At 41.2% G+C, this 21,127-nt stretch overlaps 1 protein-coding gene across 46 annotated transcripts in view, besides 6 other annotated features; it reads left to right on the forward strand.

Annotated features, from left to right (window-relative positions):
* The window catches only part of ZNF273 (zinc finger protein 273), a 59,714-nt gene that overhangs the window by 18,007 nt on the left and 20,580 nt on the right, over positions 1 to 21,127 (forward strand). For 31 of the 46 annotated variants that reach the window (NR_169738.1, NR_169742.1, NR_169745.1 and 28 more), the window contains one exon: positions 1,739 to 2,445. The exons of 5 other annotated variants lie outside the window; for them this stretch is intronic. Coding sequence is in view for 4 of the 41 variants with exons in the window: in NM_021148.3 (NP_066971.2) it covers positions 7,709 to 7,810 (102 nt within the window). In the remaining 37 variants the exon portion in view is untranslated. Of the gene's footprint in view, positions 1 to 1,738; positions 2,446 to 7,663; positions 7,811 to 21,127 lie in introns of those variants that run through there. 10 more of the 46 variants (XR_007059982.1, NR_169748.1, NR_169747.1 and 7 more) reach the window with 2 other exon arrangements.
* Positions 6,659 to 7,531: an enhancer, noted in NCBI's record as "NANOG-H3K27ac-H3K4me1 hESC enhancer chr7:64362646-64363518 (GRCh37/hg19 assembly coordinates)". NCBI's record gives its function as "activates a minimal SCP1, AML or CMV promoter by ChIP-STARR-seq in naive and primed H9 embryonic stem cells {active_cell/tissue: H9 hESC(naive and primed)}" and the evidence as "EXISTENCE:reporter gene assay evidence [ECO:0000049][PMID:30033119]".
* Positions 7,199 to 7,248: an enhancer, noted in NCBI's record as "active region_26065". NCBI's record gives its function as "activates an Ori minimal core promoter by ATAC-STARR-seq in GM12878 lymphoblastoid cells {active_cell/tissue: GM12878}" and the evidence as "EXISTENCE:reporter gene assay evidence [ECO:0000049][PMID:35858748]".
* Positions 7,269 to 7,318: an enhancer, noted in NCBI's record as "active region_26066". NCBI's record gives its function as "activates an Ori minimal core promoter by ATAC-STARR-seq in GM12878 lymphoblastoid cells {active_cell/tissue: GM12878}" and the evidence as "EXISTENCE:reporter gene assay evidence [ECO:0000049][PMID:35858748]".
* Positions 7,532 to 8,404: an enhancer, noted in NCBI's record as "NANOG-H3K27ac-H3K4me1 hESC enhancer chr7:64363519-64364391 (GRCh37/hg19 assembly coordinates)". NCBI's record gives its function as "activates a minimal SCP1, AML or CMV promoter by ChIP-STARR-seq in naive and primed H9 embryonic stem cells {active_cell/tissue: H9 hESC(naive and primed)}" and the evidence as "EXISTENCE:reporter gene assay evidence [ECO:0000049][PMID:30033119]".
* Positions 7,719 to 7,778: an enhancer, noted in NCBI's record as "active region_26067". NCBI's record gives its function as "activates an Ori minimal core promoter by ATAC-STARR-seq in GM12878 lymphoblastoid cells {active_cell/tissue: GM12878}" and the evidence as "EXISTENCE:reporter gene assay evidence [ECO:0000049][PMID:35858748]".
* Positions 7,809 to 7,918: an enhancer, noted in NCBI's record as "active region_26068". NCBI's record gives its function as "activates an Ori minimal core promoter by ATAC-STARR-seq in GM12878 lymphoblastoid cells {active_cell/tissue: GM12878}" and the evidence as "EXISTENCE:reporter gene assay evidence [ECO:0000049][PMID:35858748]".

Below are 21,127 nucleotides of genomic sequence, written 5' to 3' on the forward strand. Positions count from 1 at the left end.
AGCTGTTGGCAACTCAGTATTACATATACAGATGGATGTGGCTCAACAAGAATTTAGACAAAAATATTGAACTGTAACGTGTTGCCATGATTTAGTCTCTAATGAGGTTATAAATACATCCATATTTCAGCACATATATCCAGTTGTGTTCAAATACCTCTAAAAGTGGTATATCAAGAATTCTTAGGCTACTGAGAAAACAGAGTCTGCTATTACCCAAGAAATCAACTGGAAGGCATTTTTATAACCTTACACCACAAAAGGAAAAATTGAAAGGCAGTGCTAATAAATGCAAACTACATCACCTAGAAAATGGTAATCTAGAATGTCACTGTCAATATTTAAGAATTTGAACTTTCAGTATGAAAAATTTGGTAAAATAAAGCTTTTATTTTCTTTTTTCTTTTCTTTTTTTTTTTGAGACGGAGTCTCACTCTGTCACCAATAATTGCCTATATATGTTGTAGGCAATTATTTTCTAAATTCAACAAAGTTGCAATAAACTCTTTCATGTATAAATCTCACTGAAAGGCACTATCCAGTAGCTATTTCCCTCAGTCTTTTCTGGAATTTTCTATCACTTGATTCAAAACCAACCTTATTTGAATCCTAGCAATTTCTAAAGCTCCAAAGGTAATAACAAAAAGGGAGTAGAAAAGAAGCCAAGTTACCCCAAACACTAAATGTCTAATATATTTGGTTCCGCAAATGAAATATATTTGGTTCCGCAAATGAACCAAAAACCACACAAACTAAAAAACAGTGGCTTTAAAACTCAACCTAAATTCAATGGTAGCAGTCAAATCTATATGCAAAAATTAGCAAAGACACAATACAGAAACCCAGTCTGTTATTCCAGGAAAAATAATAAAATTCTTATTTTGGCATTTTTCAGAAAGAATAAATACATTAAATATGACAAAATATACCCAGTCAAGTATAAGAAAATCTTTGAAATATAAATGATTTTATTCTTATTCTTAAATATTTACTATAATATATTTAGAAGAGCTTTTCAGTGAAAAATGCTTATAGCTACTATGTATAAATTAAAACAGCCCTTGGAAAAATAGTATCTTTTATTAATAATGCAGATCGCAGCTCCAAGGATGTAAATCTGGGCTCATAGCTCATGACCCAAATCAAGCTCAGATGATCTATGTAACAATCATAAGTTATAGTATTAAATTAAAATGCTTCTAGAAATAAAAATAAAAAGAGGTAAAAGCAAATGAAAAAAAGGGGAAGTGGATTCCTCACAATTACTCCTAAGGTATGGAATCAAACTAAGTGTTAATTAACAGGTGAATAAATATAGAAAATGTGGTATATTTACACAATGGAATGCTATTCAGCCCTTCAAAAGAAGCAACTCTTGTTATTTGCAACAACATCAATGAACCTGGAGGACATTATGCTAAGTAAAATAAGTCAGCACAAAAACTATAGAAGCAGAGAGTAGAATGATGATTGCCTGGGGCTGGGGGTGGAGGAGATGTGGGTCAAAAGTAATGGGTCTTCCCTATGTCTCTTACCTTAACATGTAATTTATTCTTCTCTCAGTTTTGATTCACCAGGGAATGGAATTATATGCTGAGGAGTCAAAACTTAATGTTGGTAGAGCTGAGAATAGCAGTTTCCTGGTAGAACAACCACTTCTCAGCAGTATAGAAATCACTGAAAGAAAAGTGTGTCTCTCATAAAAAGCTAATGTTTTTGTTTGTTTGTTTGTTTTCAGACGGAATCTTGCTCTGTCGCCCAGACTGGAGTGCAGTGGCGCAATCTCAGCTCACTTCAAGCTCTGCCTCCCAGTTTCACGCCATTCTCCTGCCTCAGCCTCCCGAGTAGCTGGGACTACAGGCGCCCGCCACCACACCCAGCTAATTTTTTGTATTTTTAGTAGAGACGGGGTTTCACTGTGCTGGCCAGCATGGTCTCGATCTCCTGAGCTCGTGATCCACCCGCCTCGGCCTCCCAAAGTGCTGGGATTACAGGCATGAGCCACCGTGCCCAGCCAAAAAGCTGATGTGTTTTAAGCAAAATAAGCATACGCATCAATAGTAAAATGCTTCTGGTAAAATAAAGGTTCATTTTGTTGATTTCTTTTTTTTTTTTTTTTTCTGAGACGGAGTCTTGCTCTGTCGCCCAGTCTGGAGTGCAGTGGCACGGTCTCTGCTCACTGCAAGCTCTGCCTCCTGGGTTCACGCCAGTCTCCCGTCTCAGTCTCCCGTCTCAGCCTCCCGAGTAGCTGGGACTACAGGCGCCTGCCACCACGCCCGGCTAATTTTTTGTATTTTTTAGTAGAGACAGGGTTTCACCGTGTTAGCCAGGATGGTCTCGATCTCCTGACCTCGTAATCCTCCCGCCTCGGCCTCCCAAAGTGCTGGTATTACAGGCGTGAGCCACCGCACCCGGCCTCATTTTGCTGATTTCTCTTGAGCTCAGGTAATATTTCACCAAAAGGCTGGCATATATTTAGCCAAAAAAGGGATATTGTTTGAAATAAGAATATTGTGAATAAAGTTATTCTGTCAATAGAATAACATTATTACTTCATACAAGTCTTACCTGTAGTTGTACATCAAATGCTACTTTTTATTAAAAATAGTATTTTATATAAGTATTCAATTTATATCACCTTTCTTCTCTATTTCAACACCTTCTTCACTTAACACCAATGGAAAGCAAGCCAGCTGGTGCCAGGAAAGCACGTGTTGTTATTGCCATTTTAATGATGACAGTGAAGAACACTCGTTTGAGTGTTCTTCGTTTGAGTAGTACTCGCGTGCCAAACGCTGTTCATTTAACACAAAGAACTGGTTTTCTATTTTATCCTAAATTTACTGATAACATTTTTAGCTAAGAAGACTTTGTCTCATTCAAGTGTGTTTTATGGAATTTGGTTGACATTTAAGTGTCTCTGACTTTCCTGGAATATATTATAATTTTTCATAAATCCATATTGAGTACTATAAATAAACAATCTTTTACTAAAAGCCTTTGTGAGGTAGAGTAGGATACATCAAATTTTATTATAATATGGTAAGTGTGTTAACCATGTTCCTAGTAATCCCTCTGAACACAGCATTCTCAGTTTCCAGTATTCACATTGAGTCACTTAGGGGAAATTGGTATCTCTGTAAGCAGGCAGAAGAAGGTGCCCAGTGGAGGTGCACCACATTGCATGGAAATGCTGTCCACATGCACCTTTGGGGTCTTAATTTAACTGGGCTGTCATTTGCATGGCTAGATACTTACTGAATCCGGTCATACTGTTTTTGGCAGCTAATGGCATTTGTTCCCCATAAGTTTTCTACAATTATTTGCTTTGCTGAAAAATAAATCTTTTGTTAACTTACTCTAAATTGAGAGACTAGATTTGCAATTTTCAATTTTTAAACATGAAAGCAAAGCAGAGAAGAACAATATGTGTATATAACATGCATTTTCCTGCCTATGAAAATTCTTGTATTGCCTTGGAAACCCTAGGAAGCCACCTAAAGAATTCTCCCTTCAAATTGTTTAGCCAGAATTTTAAATTTCAAAAGGTCCAAAACTTAACAATTGAGCAAAGCAAAAATCTTGTCTTTGCTTCTTGTTAGTAATCTGTCATTTCAGAAAACATGGCAATTATGCCAAGCCATTGAAAAAAAATGTGATTTTGGTTAATTTTATCCCATTTAAAATGTTGTCTTTGTTACTTTTATCATGTTAATCTAAGAGAAACTATCTACATAACTATTTATGCCTTCAGGAAATATTATGCCAGGCGCAGTGGCTCACGCCTGTAATCCCGACATTTTGGGAGGCCAAGGTGAGTGGATCACTTGAGGTCAGGAGTCCCAGACCGGCCTTGCCAACATGGTGAAACCCCATTTCTACTAAAAACACAAGAATTAGCCAGGTGTGGTGGTGTATACCTGTAATCCCAGCTATTTGGAAGGCTGAGGCAAGAGAATCACTTGAAACTGGGAGACAAATGTTGAAGTAGAGCCAAGATCTTGCCACTGCACTCCAGATGGAGATAAAATGAGACTCCATCTCAAAAAAAAAAAAGAAAAAATATTTCTATTAAGTTGTTTAAAGTTCAGTATTGTAGTACAGTATAGCAGAATTCTCTAAAATTAGCAGAAGTTCATTGTAATTTCAAGGTTTTTTTTTTTTTTTTGAGACAGAGTTTTGCTCTTGTTGCCCGGGCTGGAGTGCAATGGCGTGATCTTGGCTCACAGCAACCTCTGCCTCCCGGTTTCAAGTGATTCTCCTGCCTCAGCCTCCTAAGTAGCTGGGATTACAGGCATGCGCCACCAAGCCTGGCTAATTTTGTATTTTTAGTAGAGACGGGGTTTCTCCATGTTGGTCAGGCTGGTCTCGAACTCCCAACCTCATGGGATCCGCCTGCCTCGGCCTCCCAAAGTGCTGGGATGAGCCACCACACCCTGCCTGGTTTCAAGGGATTTAACTGTGATAACAAATGATTAGGTATGCTTTATGCTTTTTCTTTTCTCTCTCTTTTTTTTTTTTTGTTTGTTTGTTTTGAGACCAAGTCTCGCTCTGTCACCCAGGCTGGAGTGCAGTTGTGTAATCTCGGCTCACTGCCACCTCCATTTTCAAGGCTGAAGTAATCCTCCCACCTCAGACTCCTGAGTAGCTGGGAATACAGCCTTGTGCCACCATGCCGGGCAATTTTTGTACTTTTAGTAGAGATGGTGTTTTGTCATGTTGCCCAGGCTGGTTTCAAACTCCTGGGCTCAAGTGATCCATCCACCTTGAACTCCCAAAATGCAAGTGGTACAGGAGATAGAAAGAAATTGTTTAGGCAGATAGCGAGGGTAAAAGAGTCCCTGGCAAGGTTTCCCTTTTAACCAAAAGCAGCCTGAAAAATCGAGCAGCAAACATGGATAAGCAAACCGGAAGCTTGCACTAGTGAATGCCAGCAGCTAGCCAGGTGTGTTCAACATGGAGGCTCCATCCTCCCTTTCCTCACCATTGAACGTTAAAGAAATAGGCAACATGGCTGCTGGCCAGGCAGAGAATCCATCTGCATAATAAAAAATTAGGGTGGGGGCGGCCAGATTTTCACACCTATGCAAATAGCACAACTAGTCCTAACCAGTTTTTTGCACCGTATACAAATGGCACACCTAATCCAATCAATCTTTCATACCCTATGTACATCAGACATTACCTTCTCAAGATCATCTATAAAACACCTTGCATTTCACCATGAAACCAGCAACCCACTTCTCCAAGAACACTCTCTGTCACAGAGAGCTCTTTTCTCTTTTGCCTATAAACTTCTGCTCTGAACCTAACTCTGTGTGTGTCCATGTTCTAGTTTTCCATGCCACGAGGATTATAGGCATGAGCCAAGGCACCAAGCTAGTATGCCTTTATTTATTTTTTTTTTTTTGTAGAGAGAGTCTTGCTCTATCTCCCAGGCTGGAGTGCAGTGGCTCCATCTCGGCTCATTGCAGCCTCTGCCTCCTGAGTTCAAGCGATTCTCATACCTTAGCCTCCCGAGTTGCTGGGACTACAAGCGCACGCCATCACACCTGGCTAATTTTTGTATTTTTAGTAGAGATGAGGTTTTACCATGTTGGCCAGGCTGGTCTCGAACTCCTGACCTCAGGTGATCTACCTGCCTCAGCCTCCCAAAGTGCTGGGATTACAGGCATGAGCTACCGTGCCCGGCGCTGGTATGCTTTTTCACAATAACTTCAATTCTAGAAGGGTACCCACTGGTCTTTATGGGGTTTCTGTAACGGATACTGTAACCCTATGCCACCGGAATGGTGCAGACATGCTGATTTTATTAGAATGAGTTCAGCCTTCTTGGTAGACTATTGGTATCCCAGAGGCTGACCATTCACTGCAGCTTATTAAATGTAGCTCCATGATGCCAATGAGTCCTTTCAGCCAGGTTGCCTTTTTCTTCTCATTGATGTAGTCAGGTCGTGATCTCTTTTGCTTGTCTTATGCTATTCCAGATGATAGGTGATTATTTCTTCCGTAAGTGAGACCCTCTTTTCTTTTCTCTGCCATGGGATCCTCCTATGATGTGTCTCTTTCTCTTAAAAGCACTTGTAATCCCAGCACTTTGGGAGGCCGAGGCGGGCGGATCACATGAGGTTGGGAGTTCGAGACCAGCCTGACCAACATGGAGAAAGGCCGTCTCTACTAAAAATACAAAATTAGCCGGGCACGATGGCACATGCCGGTAATCTCAGCTACTCGGGAGGCTGAGGTGGGAGAATCGCTTGAACCCGGAGGTGGAGGTTGCGGTGAGCCCACATTGTGCGAGTGAAACTCCTTCTCAAAAAGCACCGCTGCTTCGGGCGCGGTGGCTCACGCCTGTAATCCTAGCACTACTTTGGGAGGCCAAGGCGGGCAGATCACTTGAGGTCATGTATAATATTATACATAATATTATATATTATTATACATATTTTATATTATTATATACAATAATATATATTACATGAAAAATTACATACTGCTCACATATTAAAATAATATTTTGAATATTAGAATATTTGAATTCTAGAACTAGAATATATAACGATGAAATTGTTACAATAAATTCCACCTGTTTCTTCCTTTTTTTTTTAAGTTTGGCTACTAGAATATTTAAAATTCACATGTGGCTTACATTTTATTTCAGAGAATTAACTCCGTTTTAAAATCTCAGGCTGCCTGCTTAAAGGACCAGAAGCTAGGAAGGTCGTAAAATCGGATATTAAATAATGTTATTATATTTTTTCCATTTGTTAATAGCCATATAATTGTGAACCTCAAATATCTGAGACAGATCTCAGTTAATTTAGAAAGTTTATTCTGAGGCCAGGCGCGGTGGCTCACGCCTGTAATCCCAGCACTTTGGGAAGCCGAGGCGGGTGGATCACCTGAGGTCAGGAGTTCAAGACCAGCCTGGACAAAGTGGTGAAACCCCGTCTTTACTAAAAATAGAAAAATTAGCCAGCTACTCTGGAGGCTGAGGCAGGAGAATCGCTTGAACCCCGGAGGGAGGTGGAAGTTGCAGTAGCAGAGATCGGATCGTGCCACTGCACTCCAGCCTGGAAGACAGAGCGAGACTCCGAAAGAGACAGAGAGAGAGAAAGAAAAAGAAAGAAAGAAAACTGGAAGTGGGGAGGCGGCTTCCAGGTCCTAGGTAGATAAAAGACAAATGGTTGCATTCTTTTGAGTTCCTGATTAGCCTGGGAAAAGGAGGCAATCAGATATGCAATCATCTCAGTGAGCAGAGGGGTGACTTTGAATAGAATGGAAGGCAGGTTTGCCCTAAGCAGTTCCCAGCTTGACTTTTCCCTATAGCTTAGTGATTTTGGGGCCGCAAAATTTATTTTCCTTTCACACACTATACTATTTATTAATATAAATGCATATGACCTTATACACAAGGTTAAATGCAAATACCCCGTGGGTGGGCCGGGCTCAGTTCAGGGAGGAAGCCCTGACTGAAAAGCCTGCAGTTTAGGTTTCATTCTATCTTCTTTCAGCCCAGCAACTGAGCACACCTTCTGTCATTCAGGGCCTGAGGGGGCGGGTCCTTAAACATCCTCCAATCAGGGACGCTGGGCTGGGACCCGTCCAATCAGGCACGCAGCTGGAGCGGACAGGACGGCTTCCGGGATTTGGCGGGGCCTTTGTCTCTCGCTGCAGTCGCAGCTCCAGGTCTCGTCTTCACTGCTCTATGTCCTCTGCTCCTAGAGGTCCACCTTCTGTGGCCCCGTTACCTGCAGGTATTGGGAGATCCACAGCTAAGACGCCAGGACTCCCTGGAAGCCTAGAAATGGTGAGAGTGCCGGGTCCCAGATCCCGAGAGAGGGGGAGGGCCTGGTTGGAACTGGTGGGAAGTGGATGTGGCGAGACTCCGGCCTCCCTGCAGTAGACTCCAAAATCCGCGGCCAGGAGTTCTCCTTGGCGCAGCTCGGCCCTCAGTCCCCTTCAGTCATAAGATGGCTGCTGGGCTGGCAGCCGGGATCCCGGGCGTCCTGTCTCCTCCCTGCGCAGTGACCGTTCCCTGGCCTGGAGCCCTCCCTGGGCAGCTCTGCTGCCGCAGCGCCGCATCTCTCCTCGATGACTCGGGATGCAGGGTTCATGACTAGGAAGAGCTTTGGTCCATGGGGTTCCCAGACCCTCCTTTTTTCTATTAAAAATGTATGGAAGTCACCGCGAAAATATTAAAGAATTTAATCAGACAGTCATTCACAAATTATAGAGCACCCAGCTGTGGTTTGTAGTTTGTGGTCCATGGGAAGGGCTTGAAGGAAAGACTTTTATAAGGTGTGTGATGAAGAAAGCCAATAATTGGTTAGGTACCGTTATGTAGTTTCTTAATTTGTAAATTCAGGGTGGACATTTCCTGGTTATGTCATCAGAGGTTAATTGGCAGTTTATGGTTGGTTAAGCCTGAATTTTGTTTCCCTCAATGTTGTAATTTACAAAAAGTTTGAGTTAGATTTTTTTTTCTTTCTTTCTGAGACAGAGTCTCACACTGTCGCTCAGGCTGGAGTGCAATGGCAGCCATCTCGGCTCACTGCAACCAACGCCTCCCGGGTTCATGCAATTCTCCTGCTTCAGCCTCCCAAGTAACTGGGATTACAGGCGCACGCCGCCACGCCCAGCTAACTTTTCTGTATTTTAGTAGAGTCTGGGTTTCACTGTGTTGCCCAGCCTGGTCTCGAACTCCTGAGCTCAGGCAATCCACCCGCCTCCGCCTCCCAAAGTGCTAGGACTACAGGCGTGAGCCACCGCGCCCGGCCAATTTGAGTTAGATTTTTTTAAAAAATGGGGACCCTGGGACTGGAGCTACCTCAGTCTAATTGCCTGCTACTTAATTGTGTACACACTCTACAGGGGATAGATTTTCCCCTGAAATTTTCACATGTGGCCCAAGCAGAGTCTCAAGACTACTCCCCACCCCCAATTCCTTCAGCCTAACTCTGGCTTGCAGTAAAATACCAAATTTCCAGTTTTTTCTGACATTCCGAAATGCCAACTTCCTCATCCTAATTCACATTATTTTAGTGTACATTTTAGATACTGTATTTTAATTAATCATTTTTTGACACAGCATTGGATAGCACTTTAGAAAAATTTTTTTCTGTTTGAAAATATTTCCCAGGAGAAGAAAGCAAAGAATCATCCCCTGACACTGTATTGTAAAAAAATCTCTGTGCCTCTTTTTAAAATAATCTTCCCTAGGCACAGAGATCTTACCAAAATGTTTTTGGGTCAAGGTTTCCCTTTGGAAACTTTATGGAGTGCTGTTTCCTCAGCCACTCCTCAGTGTTTTCCTGGTTTTGAGTTTTAGTACTGTCTGGGGATAAACCAAGATACCCACAATCGCTATGTCTGCTACAATGTTTAGTGAATATCAGCTCCTGGGTCATTTTCTCCCATAGGACAGTCTCAGGTATGGAGTGTAGCTTCTTAAAAGAGCAGGTGGATGTCGTGGGGCTGAGAGGCATCTCCTGGTGCACTTTTTTTTTTTTTTTTTTTTTTTTTTGAGACAGTCTCATTCTGTCGCCCAGGCTGGAGTGCAATGGGGCGATCGTGGCTCACTGCAAACTCCGCCTCCCAGGTTCAAGCGATTCTCCAGTCTCAGCCTACCAAGTAGCTGGGATTACAAGTGCACGCCGACACACCTGGCTAATTTTTGTGTTTTTTGTAGAGAGGAGGTTTCACCATGTTGGCTGTACTGGCCTTGAACTCCTGGCCTCAAGTGATCCGCCCACCTTGGCGTCCCAGAGTGCTGAGATTACAGGCGTGAGGCACCCCACGCTGGCCACACTTTTTTTTTTTTTTTTTTTTTTGAAAAGCTAACCCGTTGAGACATTAAGATTGTCTTCACCCAATCCAGCTTTCATTTCTTGGAGACAGATTGCTGGTCAGCCAATCAGATGCTGGTATTAAGGGGAAAACAAATAATTTCTTCCCCCTGAATTCTCTTAACATTTGTGAAAGAAAAAATAGTGTACCAAAAAAACTAAAAAAAACTTACTCCAGTGAGATGGTGCAAGAACTTGCAAACTAAAATGCATCTGGAGCAGTAACTGAGGTATAGTGTCTCCGAAGAGGGTGGTCGTTGAGCACTTAAGTGAGCAGGATGGGGTGGGAGAATCAAGGGATCGTGGCCTGACTTGACACGAGTCAAACACATCAGTTTTCTAATCAGCACTGCCACTCTCTGGGGGTTTATCATCTTGAAAAGATTTCTTCACTTTTTTTGACTTCAGTTTTTTATTGTAAGTTGCATTTTATTAGTAAAACTTGAAAGGTAAAAAATTTACAAAAAGGTGGGTTTCAGGGAGAGAAATAATATCTAATTATATAGTCCATTTGTTAAAAATTCTCATTTATCTTTTTCTTTGCCAGAATGAGTTTAAGAATTTTCTCGGGTGTGTCTTTTATGGGTGAGATCAAACAGAATTCCAAGTCTTGGCTTTTAGAATGCTAACCAAGGAAAAAAATAGGGAGAATCTCTTTTTAATTTTGGCTGTAGAAAATAAATACTTTTCCACAAGAATATGTAGTAGATAATTGGTGAGTTACTTAGATTTGTGAAAACATCAGTTCCTCTTTATGCAGAGTACATTTGTAACAGTGAATATCTCTAGTCTATGTCCTGTTATCTTGATTTCTGAGTTTAATGCTGAATTATATGGTAAAACTTGGTACCTCCCAGAAGCGTTCCCATATGACTGTTTACTACATGATTTTTAATAAAAATTATAAAATAATACGTTTATCATCTAAAAGGAATGGATACTTTTGCTTTTCTTGTTGAGGTATAAAATGTAAACACCTTAAAATGTCTTCCCCTTATATGATCACTGTGTTTGAGTAATTTTGCTGGATTTTTTAAACACTTACTTTCAAAAACCAAGTTAATACCTCTGACATGGAAATTAAAGCTTCAGCCCAGTGACTCTAAGCTAAGGCTAATATGGAGCCTGCAAAAGGAGGTTATTAAAGGCCCAGTTAGGTTCTTTTTGGGGAGCCTCCCCTGCAGATGTCCCAGCCTGCTCACACCAGCCATGAAGAAGCCTTTATACTGAGAGAAGCTACAGAGCCCAGGAAAGCTGGGGACCCACAGGCAGATGCAGTTAAAGTTAAGATGGAAGGGGATTAGGAAGGTCTTACTGGAGATGAAGTTGTTACTGTTTTAAGGCAGTTTCTAGACTTACAAAATAAAACAAAGTTATGTAAAAAAAAAAATTTGAATTCCAAAAGAGTGTTGCAACAGGCAAAGTACCAACTATAAGATCTTGAAGGACTGCAAAGTTTAGGCAGACAAGATTAGAAAGAAGGTGGGAGGGGATGGCAAATAGAAGGTGGGAAAATTAGATTTTATATCAGAGAATGTTTTACCCTGAAGTCAGCATGTTCTTAGCTGGGACATAAAATGGTGTATGTTGGTTCAGACTGAGGGTAGCTCAAAATTCTGAGCCTGTGGGAAGAAGATAAACTTAAGTAAAGTTTGATTAAGAAATATTTCCTCTTAGCCACTGAGACCAGTTCAGCTGTTTTTTGTTTGTTTGTTGTTTGTTTTTAATGAGAAAAGGAAATGTGGAGTCTGTGTTTGGTTATGTGATAGGTAAGAAAAGAGCACCATCTAAGTCATAATGGGAGGGTGTTTCTTTCCATCAACTGTTCCTGGAGAGCACAAAGGATGGATAATTTTATTAATCACAGCTATTTACCAGGATTATCTATGTGCTTCATCTTTCCCCACCTCTTTTCTTGGTCCTATACATTTCTTCCATTTGAGTTTTCCTGCGTTGTGTCTTTTATAATAAACTGGTCAACATAACTACAGTGTTTGCTGAGTTCTGTGAGTAGCTCTATCAAATTATTGAACTTGAGGGAGGTTATGGGAGTCCCAAATTTTTAAACAGTAACCCCAGTGTATAGATGGGCCTATGGAATTTGTGACTGGCATCTGCAGTGAGGATAGTGTTGTGGGACTGAGCCCTGAATCAGGGTCTGTGCTGACCCTGGGTGGTGTCAGAATTCAAATGTTAGACAATTAGTTGGTGTTAGAGAATTGCTTGGTATTCCACAAACTCTAGAGATTTGGTACCAGAGGAAAGATATCACAGAAGCCTGGCCTGGAATGGAACTCTGGGTGTCTGGGAATGGGAGGCTCTGCTCTCCTGTACACAGACTGTCACACTGCCCGTTGTCCTGTGATTCCATGTCTCCTCCCAGGGTGAGCGAGAACTGACAACTTAGAGGAAATGAGCTGTGATAACAGACCCCTTTTTTCCACAGCTGCCACCACAGGATTCCCACCCACTCTCAAACATACGCACTAGACATTGATGTGTCCACACCCCTCCCAGGACTAGGAACCACCCTCAGGAATTTCACCACAACATTTTTGATCCTGGTATTTTTTGCCAAAAATCCACAAAAGTGTCTACATGTCTCTGGGGATATCCCCACCCCCAGACACTGAATCTGCAGTAGCAACCTGCTTCCTCTACCAACCTGTTCATAATCTCATCTGCCTGCATGGACACAAATCAGAGTACAGCCCCCCTGGGCCACTATCTGATAGCACAAACAAATCCATCCACTTACATTGCACTATTCTCCACTCATGGATTTTTTTTCCTTTTAACTTTTATATTTGGTTCGTGGTACACGTGCTGATTTGTTATATACATAAAATTGTGTTGTGAGGCTTTGGTGTGCAGATTATTTTGTCACTGAGGTAGTAAGCATAGCACCAAATAGGTACTTTTTCTGATCCTCTTTGTCCTCTCACCCTCCACCCTCAACTTGGCCTCTGTGTTTGTTGTTCCCCGCTTTGAGTCCATGTGTTTTTGTTTGTTTGTTTTGAGATGGAGTCTTGCTCTGTTACTCAGGCTACAGTGCAGTGGCATGATCTCACTGCAACCTCTGCCTGCCAGGTTCAAGTGATTCTCCTGCCTCAGCCTCCTGAGTAGCTGAAATTACAAGCACCTGTCACCACGCTTGGCTAATTTATTTATTTTTAAAAATAGTGACAGGGTTTCACCATGTTAACCAGGCTGGTCTCAAACTCCTGACCTCAACTGATCTGCTGGGCTCTGCCTCCCAGGGTGCCATGTGTTATTATTTAGCACTTACTTATAAATGAGAACATGTATTTGGTTTTCCATTTCTGCATTAGTTCACTAAAGATGATGGTCTCCAGCTCCAACCATGTTGCTGCAGAGGACATAACCTTATTATTATTTTTTTAGGGCCACACAGTATTTCATGATGTTTATATATCATATTTTGTTTTTATTAAATATTTTGTTTTATTTTGGAGACAGGATATTCTATTGCCCAGGCTGGAGTACAGTGGGGTGATCTTGGCTGACTGCAGCCTCAACATCCTGGGCTTAAGCAATCCTCCTACCTCAGCCCCCAAAGTAGCTGGGACTACAGGCATATGCCACCACACCTAGCTAGTTTTTCTTTTTGTATTTTTTGTACGTACGGGGTTTTGCCATGTTGTCCCAGGCTAGTTTCAAACTGCTGAGCTCAGGCAATCCAACTGCCTTGGCCTCCCAATGTGCTGCGATTACAGGCGTGAGCCACTGCACCCAACAATATGTTTTCTTCTTTTTTTTTTTTTCTGAGACAGTCTCCCTCTGTCGCCCAGACTGGAGTGCAGTGGCACGATATTGGCTCACTGCAGCCTCCACCACCCAGGCTCGAGCGACTCTCCTGCCTCAGCCTCCCAAGCAGCTGGGATTACAGGCATGCACCACCATGCCTGGCTAATTTGTTTTGTATTTTTTAGTAGAGACGGGGTTTCAACATGGTGTCCAGGCTGGTCTCCAACTCCTGACCTCAAGTGATCTGCCTACCTTGGCCCCCCAAAGTGCTGGGATTATAGGTGTGAGCCACCGCGCCCAGCCATAATGTTTTCTTTATCCGGTCTACTATTGATAGACATTTAGGTTGCTTCCATGTCTTTGCTCACAAGTACTATTGTGTATAGTGCTGCAATGAACATGCATTTGCATGTGTCTTTATAATAGAATAATTTATATTTTGGGGGGTATATAGAGTATTTTTGGGGTATTCAGGTTGCTGAATCAAATGGTAATTTTGATTTTAGTTCTTTGAGAAATCATCACACTGCTTTCACAGTGGTTGAACTAATTTATACTCCCACTAACAGTGTATAAGTATTCTTTTTTTTTTGCAGCCTTGCAAGCATCGTTTTTTTTTGTTTGTTTGTTTGTTTTTGTCTTTTTATTAATAGCCATTCTGACTGGTATGAGATTGTATCTCACTGTGGTTTTTCTTTACGTTTCTCTAATGATTAATAATGAGCATTTTTTAATATGCTTGTTAGCCACATGTGTGTCTTCTCTTGAAGAACATCTGTTCATGCTTTTTTCCTAGTTTTTTTTTTCTGGCAAACTTGCTTAAGTTCTTTATTAATTTTGGATATTAGACATTTGGCAGAAGCATAGTTTGCAGATATTTTCTATTGTTCTGTAGGTTGTCTTTTTACTCTGTTGATAGTTTCCTTTGGTGTGAAGAAGCTCTTTAGTTTAATTAGGTCTTATTTGTCCATTTCTGCTTTTGTTGCAATTGCTTTTGGTATCCTCAACATGAAATATTTGCCAGTTCCTATATCTAGAATGGTCTTTCCTAGGTTATCTTCCAGGGCTTTTGTATAATTTTAAGTTTCAAATTTAAGTCTTTAATTTATCTTGAGTTGACTTTTGTATGTAGTGTAAGGAAGGGGTCCAGTTTCAATCTTATACATAGTACTAGCTAGTTATTCCAGCACCATTAAACAGGGAATTCTTCCCACATTCCTCTTGTCAGCTTTGTAGAAGATCAGATGGTTGTAGGTGTGTGGCATTATTTCTGGGCTCTCTGTCCTGTTGCATTGGTCTATGAGCCTGTTTTTTGTTTTGTTTTGTTTTGTACCAGTACCATGCTGCTTTGGTAACTGTAGCCTGGTAGTATAGTTTGAAGTCTGGTAATGTAATGACTCCAGCTTTGTTCTTTTTGCTTAAGATTGCCTTGGCTATTCAAGTTTTGTTTGTTTTTGTTTCATATGAATTTTAAAATAGTTTTTTTTTCTGTTAAGAATCTTTTTGGTAATTTGATAAAATAGCATTAAATCTGTAATTTATTTTTTTTTTTTTTTTGAGACGAAGTTTTGTTTTTATTGCCCAGGCTGGAGTGCAATGGTGCAATCTCGACTCACTGCAACCTCCGCCTCCTAGGTTCAAACAATTCTCCAGCCTCAGCCTCCTAAGTAGCTGGGATTACAAGCATGCACCACCATGCCTGGCTAATTTTTCTATTTTTAGTAGAGATGGGGTTTCGTCGTGTTGGCCAGGTTGGTCTCAAACTCCTGACCCCAGGTGATCCACCCACCTCGGCTTCCCAAAGTGCTGGGATTACAGGCGTGAGTGAGCCACTGCACTGGGCTAAAGTGTGTACCTTTAATGCCTAGTTTGTTGAAGGTTTTTTACATGAAGTATGTTAAATTTTATCAAAAGCTTTCTCTGCAGCTATTGAGATAATCTTGTGGGTTTTGTCTTTAGTTTTGTTTATGTGATAAATAGCATTTATTGATTTGTGTATGGTGAACCAACTTTGCATTTTAAAGACAAAGCCTACTTGATTATAGTGAACTAGCCTTTTTTTTTTTTTTGAGATGGAGTTTCACTCTGGTTGCAATGGCATGATCTCAGCTCACTGCAGCCTCTGCCTCCTGGGTTCAAGTGATTCTCCTGCTCCAGCCTCCCAAATAGCTGGGATTACAGGCATGCGCCACCATGCCTGGCTAATTTTGTATTTTTAGTGGAGACAGGGTTTCTCCATGTTGGTCAGGCTGGTTTCGAACTCCCGACCTGAGGTGATCCACCCGCCTTAGCCTCCCGAAGTGCTGGGATTACAGGTGTGAGCCACTGTGCCTGGCCAAGTTATTTGTATTTTTGTATGTTCAGTGGTAATGTTCATTTTGTCATTTCTAATTGTATTTATTTGAATCGTCATTAATCTCGCTATTGGTTTATTTTATTAATTTTTTCAAAGTTTTAACTTCTGAATTTCTTAATATTTTGTATAGTTTTTTTATGTCTAAATCTCCTTCAGTTCACATCTGATTTTAGTTTTTTCTTGTCTTCTGCTAGTTTAGGGATTTGCTCTTCTCTTATTCTTTTATTTGTGATATTAGGTTGTTAAATCGAGATCTTTCTAACTTTTTGATGTGAGCATTTAATGGCATAAATTTCCCTCTTAACACTGCCTCAGCTGTGTTCCAGGGATACTGGTATGTTGTATTTTTGCTCTCATTTGTTTCAAAAAACTTCTTGATTCCTGTCTCAATTCCATTATTTACCCAAATATCATTCAAGTGCAGGTTAAGTTCCACGTAATTGTATGGCTCACCGTAAACTCTGCCTTCTGCGTTCAAGCGATTTTTGTGCCTCAGCCTACCTAGTAGCTGGGATCACAGGTGCCCGCCACCATACTCAGCTAATTTTTCTAATTTTAATAGAGTCGACGTGGTTTCACCATGTTGGCCAGGCTGGTCTTGAACAGATCTGAGGTGATTCGCCCGCCTCGGCCTCCCAAAGTATGGGGATTACAGGCGTGAGCCACCATGCCTGGCCATTTATGTTGTTTTTAGTTGGAGAGTTCTGTAGATTTCTATTAGGATTATTTGATCAAGTATTGAGTTTAGGTCCTAATATCTTTGTTAATTTCCTGCCTCAATAATCTGTCTAATAGTGTCTGTGGGGTGTTGTTTTCTTCCACTATTACTGTGCTAGAATCGAAGTCTCTTCATAGGTTTCTAAGAACTTGCTTTATTCATGTGCACTCATGAATAACACCTCTTTTCTTCTGTTCCCCCCACCCCATAAACATTCTTTAAAGTGCACACAGTGTGCCCAAGGCTACTCCTTAGATGCCTGAATCCAGTTATCTACTGAGTTCAGATGTCCAAGAGTTCAAGAGCATGTCCTGAGACCTGGCTGTTGTAGGAGAAAATATAAATTAGAAATAAGAGGCTTTATGATTCTGTTTCCTGAAAATAAGGGAGAATATTTTGCTCTTCTCTGTTTTCTTAAAGCATTTAGATTATATGTAGATATTTTTCTGCTTTTTTGAATATATGTAAATCATATGAACAGCTAAATAAACCCTTTGTTTTTCTTTTTGACTCAGGATTCATTTTAGTTTTTTTTTTTTTTTTTTTTGAGATTGAGTTTCGCTCTGTCATCCAGGCTGGAGTGCAGTGGTGCGATCTTGGCTCACTGCAACCTCCGCCTCTTGGGTTCAAGTGATTCTCTTGTTTTAGCCTCCCAAGTAGCTGGGACTACAGGTGTACACCACCATGTCCAGCTAATATTTGTATTTTTAGTAGAGATGAGGTTTCGCCATGTTGGCCAGGCTGGTCTCGAACTCCTGACCTCAGGTGATCTATCCACCTGCCTTGACCTCCCAAAGTGCTGGGATTACAGGCCTGAGCCACTGCACCCGGCCAGCAACTTATTTTCTATTCTTGCAGATCCAGTGATTGTTTCACAAGTCACAAAAAAGTAAATATAAACACAATAAAAATTCCTTTAAACTACATTGAAATTTTCCTTTCTGTGTCTCTCTCATCTGTCTATATTTTGTTTTTATTCTATGCATTTTTTAAAAAATCAGTGACAGAGAAACAGAAGAAGAAGTAAAAATGCTGGGCCCTTCATTTAAATCCTGGGAATTATTGAATGTTTGGTACTAGCTCCCAGGGTGTTACGAGGATTCAATCACATAATGTGTTATTTCCAGCGAAGCGCTGTGTAACATACTCTTGAGAGTGAGAACACGGTGAACACAGTGTCTGCTTAATAAACATTGCAGTAGTACATGTGTACATGCTGTTTTTCAAATGCAGACTTATTCAGACATTGCTGCCTTCTGTTTAATCTGTAAACTTTAAAGAGACAGCGAAGAAGATACTTTAGGGTGGAGATGGATTGTCTTCACTTGTGTTATGACAAGAGTGCTGAGTGTAAGGTACACTTTGCTGTGCCTGCTTCCTCTAACTAGAGCTAATAATGAGCCTAAGGGGAGCAACATCAGCATTGACGAGGACTTGTTTAAAACACCGATTCATGGACCCTTTGCAAACCTGCAGAATAACATTACATAGAGTTGGGTCAAAATTACGAAGTGATTTATAAGCTCGTTAAAGTCTGAGAGGCAATGCTTAGCTAAGTGGTTATCAGCTCAGGCTTCTAATGAGGATTACATGGCCAATTTGCAGAAATCTTTTTACTTGTGCCCTTTCCACAAGTTCTGTTTAATGTTCTTGGTGGAAGCATCCATGTTGTTTTAATTATTAGATTGGTGCAAAAGTAATTGTCGTTTTCGCCTTTTTTTGTTTTTGAGACAGATTTTTGCTCTGTCACCCAGGCTGGAGTGCAATGGCTTGATCTCGGCTACTTCAGCCTCTGCCTCCTGGGTTCAAGCGATTCTCCCACCTCAGCCTCCCCAGTAGCTGGGATTACAGGCATGCACCACTACGTCCTGGTAATTTTTGTATTTTTTTTTTTTTTTTTTTTTTTTTTAGTACAGATGGGGTTATGGGGTTTGGCCATGTTGGTCAGGCTGGTCTTGAACTCCTGACCTCAGGTGATCCACCCACCTTGGCCTCCCAAAGTGCTGGGATTATAGGCATGAGCCACCACACCTGGACTGTTTCTGCTATTTAAAAAAAAAAAACACTATTATTATTACTTATTATTTTTATTTCTTTTACCTTGCCATTAAAAAAAAATTGGCAACAGCCACAGTTATTTTCACACCAACCTAATAAGTGCCTCATGTGATTCTAGAGTGAGAACAGAATCAGCTATGAGGGGTTCAAAATACATTCATGAGAGTTAATTTCTGCCTTTGTACTAAAGGGTGGTCACAGGGCCAGTTCTGTTTGAGTTTGGTAGGAACAGGACAGTACAGCCCATATTGCCATTACTGTAGCAGAAATTGCTGGTGTCTGTGGCAAGGGAGGGCACCTGAGGATAGATAAAGAGAAACTTTATTTTTATCTCTGTGGAGTAGCTCATTGTTCCTGAATCTTTGCTGTTATAAAGAACAGAAACGGGCGGGCTTTATCTGTTTTGGAGTTTTTCATGTCATCTGCCTGTGGGTGTGGTGCTAGCAGATAAGCAGGCGGTGCTGACACTTCAAAGGCACATTCTCAAGATGCAGGTGTGTAATTAGTCCAGAGACTCTCATCTGAGAAGGAATCCCAGAGAAGGAGGAGAAAAGGGGAAAAAATGGCCTTTTTTTTTTTTTTTTAGCTAAACATGTCTCAGATCAAGAGCTGTGTCCACTCTGCCTCCTGGAATGCCATGCGTTTAGTACTTGTAAACCTTTGCTTCTCTACTTGCATTTTTCTTCCCTATTAAGTTTATTTTAACTACTTTAAAAAATTCTCATGATAGTCAAGCATCTCTGAAAAATACTTCTTTCCTATATACCAGAGCCTACTCTACTTTCTCTACATCGTGGCTTCTTATATTCCATGCAGAATTCTCACATGACTTTGTGATGTGCAACATTAAAAATGTTTCCTTTGTGGCTGTGGATACTCAACATTCCTATTGGGGAAAAGCTGGTGCCGAGACCAGCTCGGTCAGGGAGAACCTAACCCAGCGGCGCTAGAGGAATTAAAGACACACACAGAAATATAGAGGTGTGAAGTGGGAAATCAGGGGTCTCACAGCCTTCAGAGCTTAGAGCCTCAAACAGAGATTTACCCACGTATTTATTGACAGCAAGCCAGTGATAAGCATTGTTTATGTAGATTATAGATTAAAAGTAGTTCTTATGGGAAATAAAGGGATGGGTTGAAATAAAGGGATGGGTTGGGCTACTTATCTGCAGCAGGAGCACGTCCTGAAGGCACAGATCGCCCATGCTATTGTTTGTGGTTTAAGAAAGCCTTTAAGCGGTTTTCCGCCCTGGGTGGGCCAGGTGTTCATTCCGGTAAACCCACAACCTTCCAGCGTGGGCGTCATGGCCATCATGAACATGTCACAGTGCTGCAGAGGTTTTGTTTATGGCCAGTTTTGGGGCCAGTTTATGGCCAGATTTTGGGGGGCCTGTTTCCAACAAGCTGGGGTCCTTTGTAAATATGGAGAACATGTAATGTTGGGGTTTCATTTGTGTTCTCCATTAGCTCTATGCAGAACAGAATTAACAAAATGCTTATTTAAACAGGATAACATTTATTACCCAAAAAGTTCTAAAAAATAATTACTCAGAGATGGCCAGGCATGATGGTTCATGCCTGTAATCCCAGCACTTTGGGAGGTTGAGGTGGGCAAATCACCTGAGGCCAGGAGTTCAAGACCAGCCTGGCCAACATGGTGAAACCTCGTCTATACTAAAAATACAAAAATTAGCTGGGTGTGGTGGCACATGCTTGTAGTCCCAGCTACTAGGGAGACTGAGGCAGGAGAATCGCTTGAGCCTGAGAGGCAGAGGTTGTAGTGATCAGAGATTGCATCACTGTACTCCAGCCTGGGCAACAAGAAAAAAAATTATTAGGAGAAAACTGCTCTCTACGGTGTTGAAGACTACTTAAAATTACTGTTAAAAATAACAACATAAGATAGGCACGTCGCTCACGCCTGTAATCCCATACACTTTTGGAGGTTGAGGCGGACAGGAGTTCGAGACCAGGCTGGCCAACATGGTGAAACCCCATCTCTACTAAAAATGTAAAAAAAAAAAAAAAAAAATTAGCTGGGCATGGCAGCGGCGGCAGGCGCCTGTAATCCCACCTACTTGGGAGACTGAAGCAGGAGAATCGCTTGAATTCGGGAGGCGAAGATTGCACTGAGCCGAGATCACACCATTGCACTCTAGCCTGGGCAAGGGAGCAAAACTGTCTCAAAAAAAAAAAAAAAAAAAAAAACCATACACACAAAATAACAACATAAGAGTTATCTGTATCTTGAAGAGGGCATAAAACTGATGTTTGTGTATGGTTAAATTCAGACTATAATTTACTTTTGCGAGGGGCAATATTGAAGCAGTGATGCTGTGTTTTTCTGTGTGCCTCAGCGCATCATACAAATCTGTCCTG

Source organism: Homo sapiens, chromosome 7 (assembly GCF_000001405.40).
Source record: "Homo sapiens chromosome 7, GRCh38.p14 Primary Assembly".
Classification (NCBI taxonomy): Eukaryota; Metazoa; Chordata; class Mammalia; order Primates; family Hominidae; genus Homo; species Homo sapiens.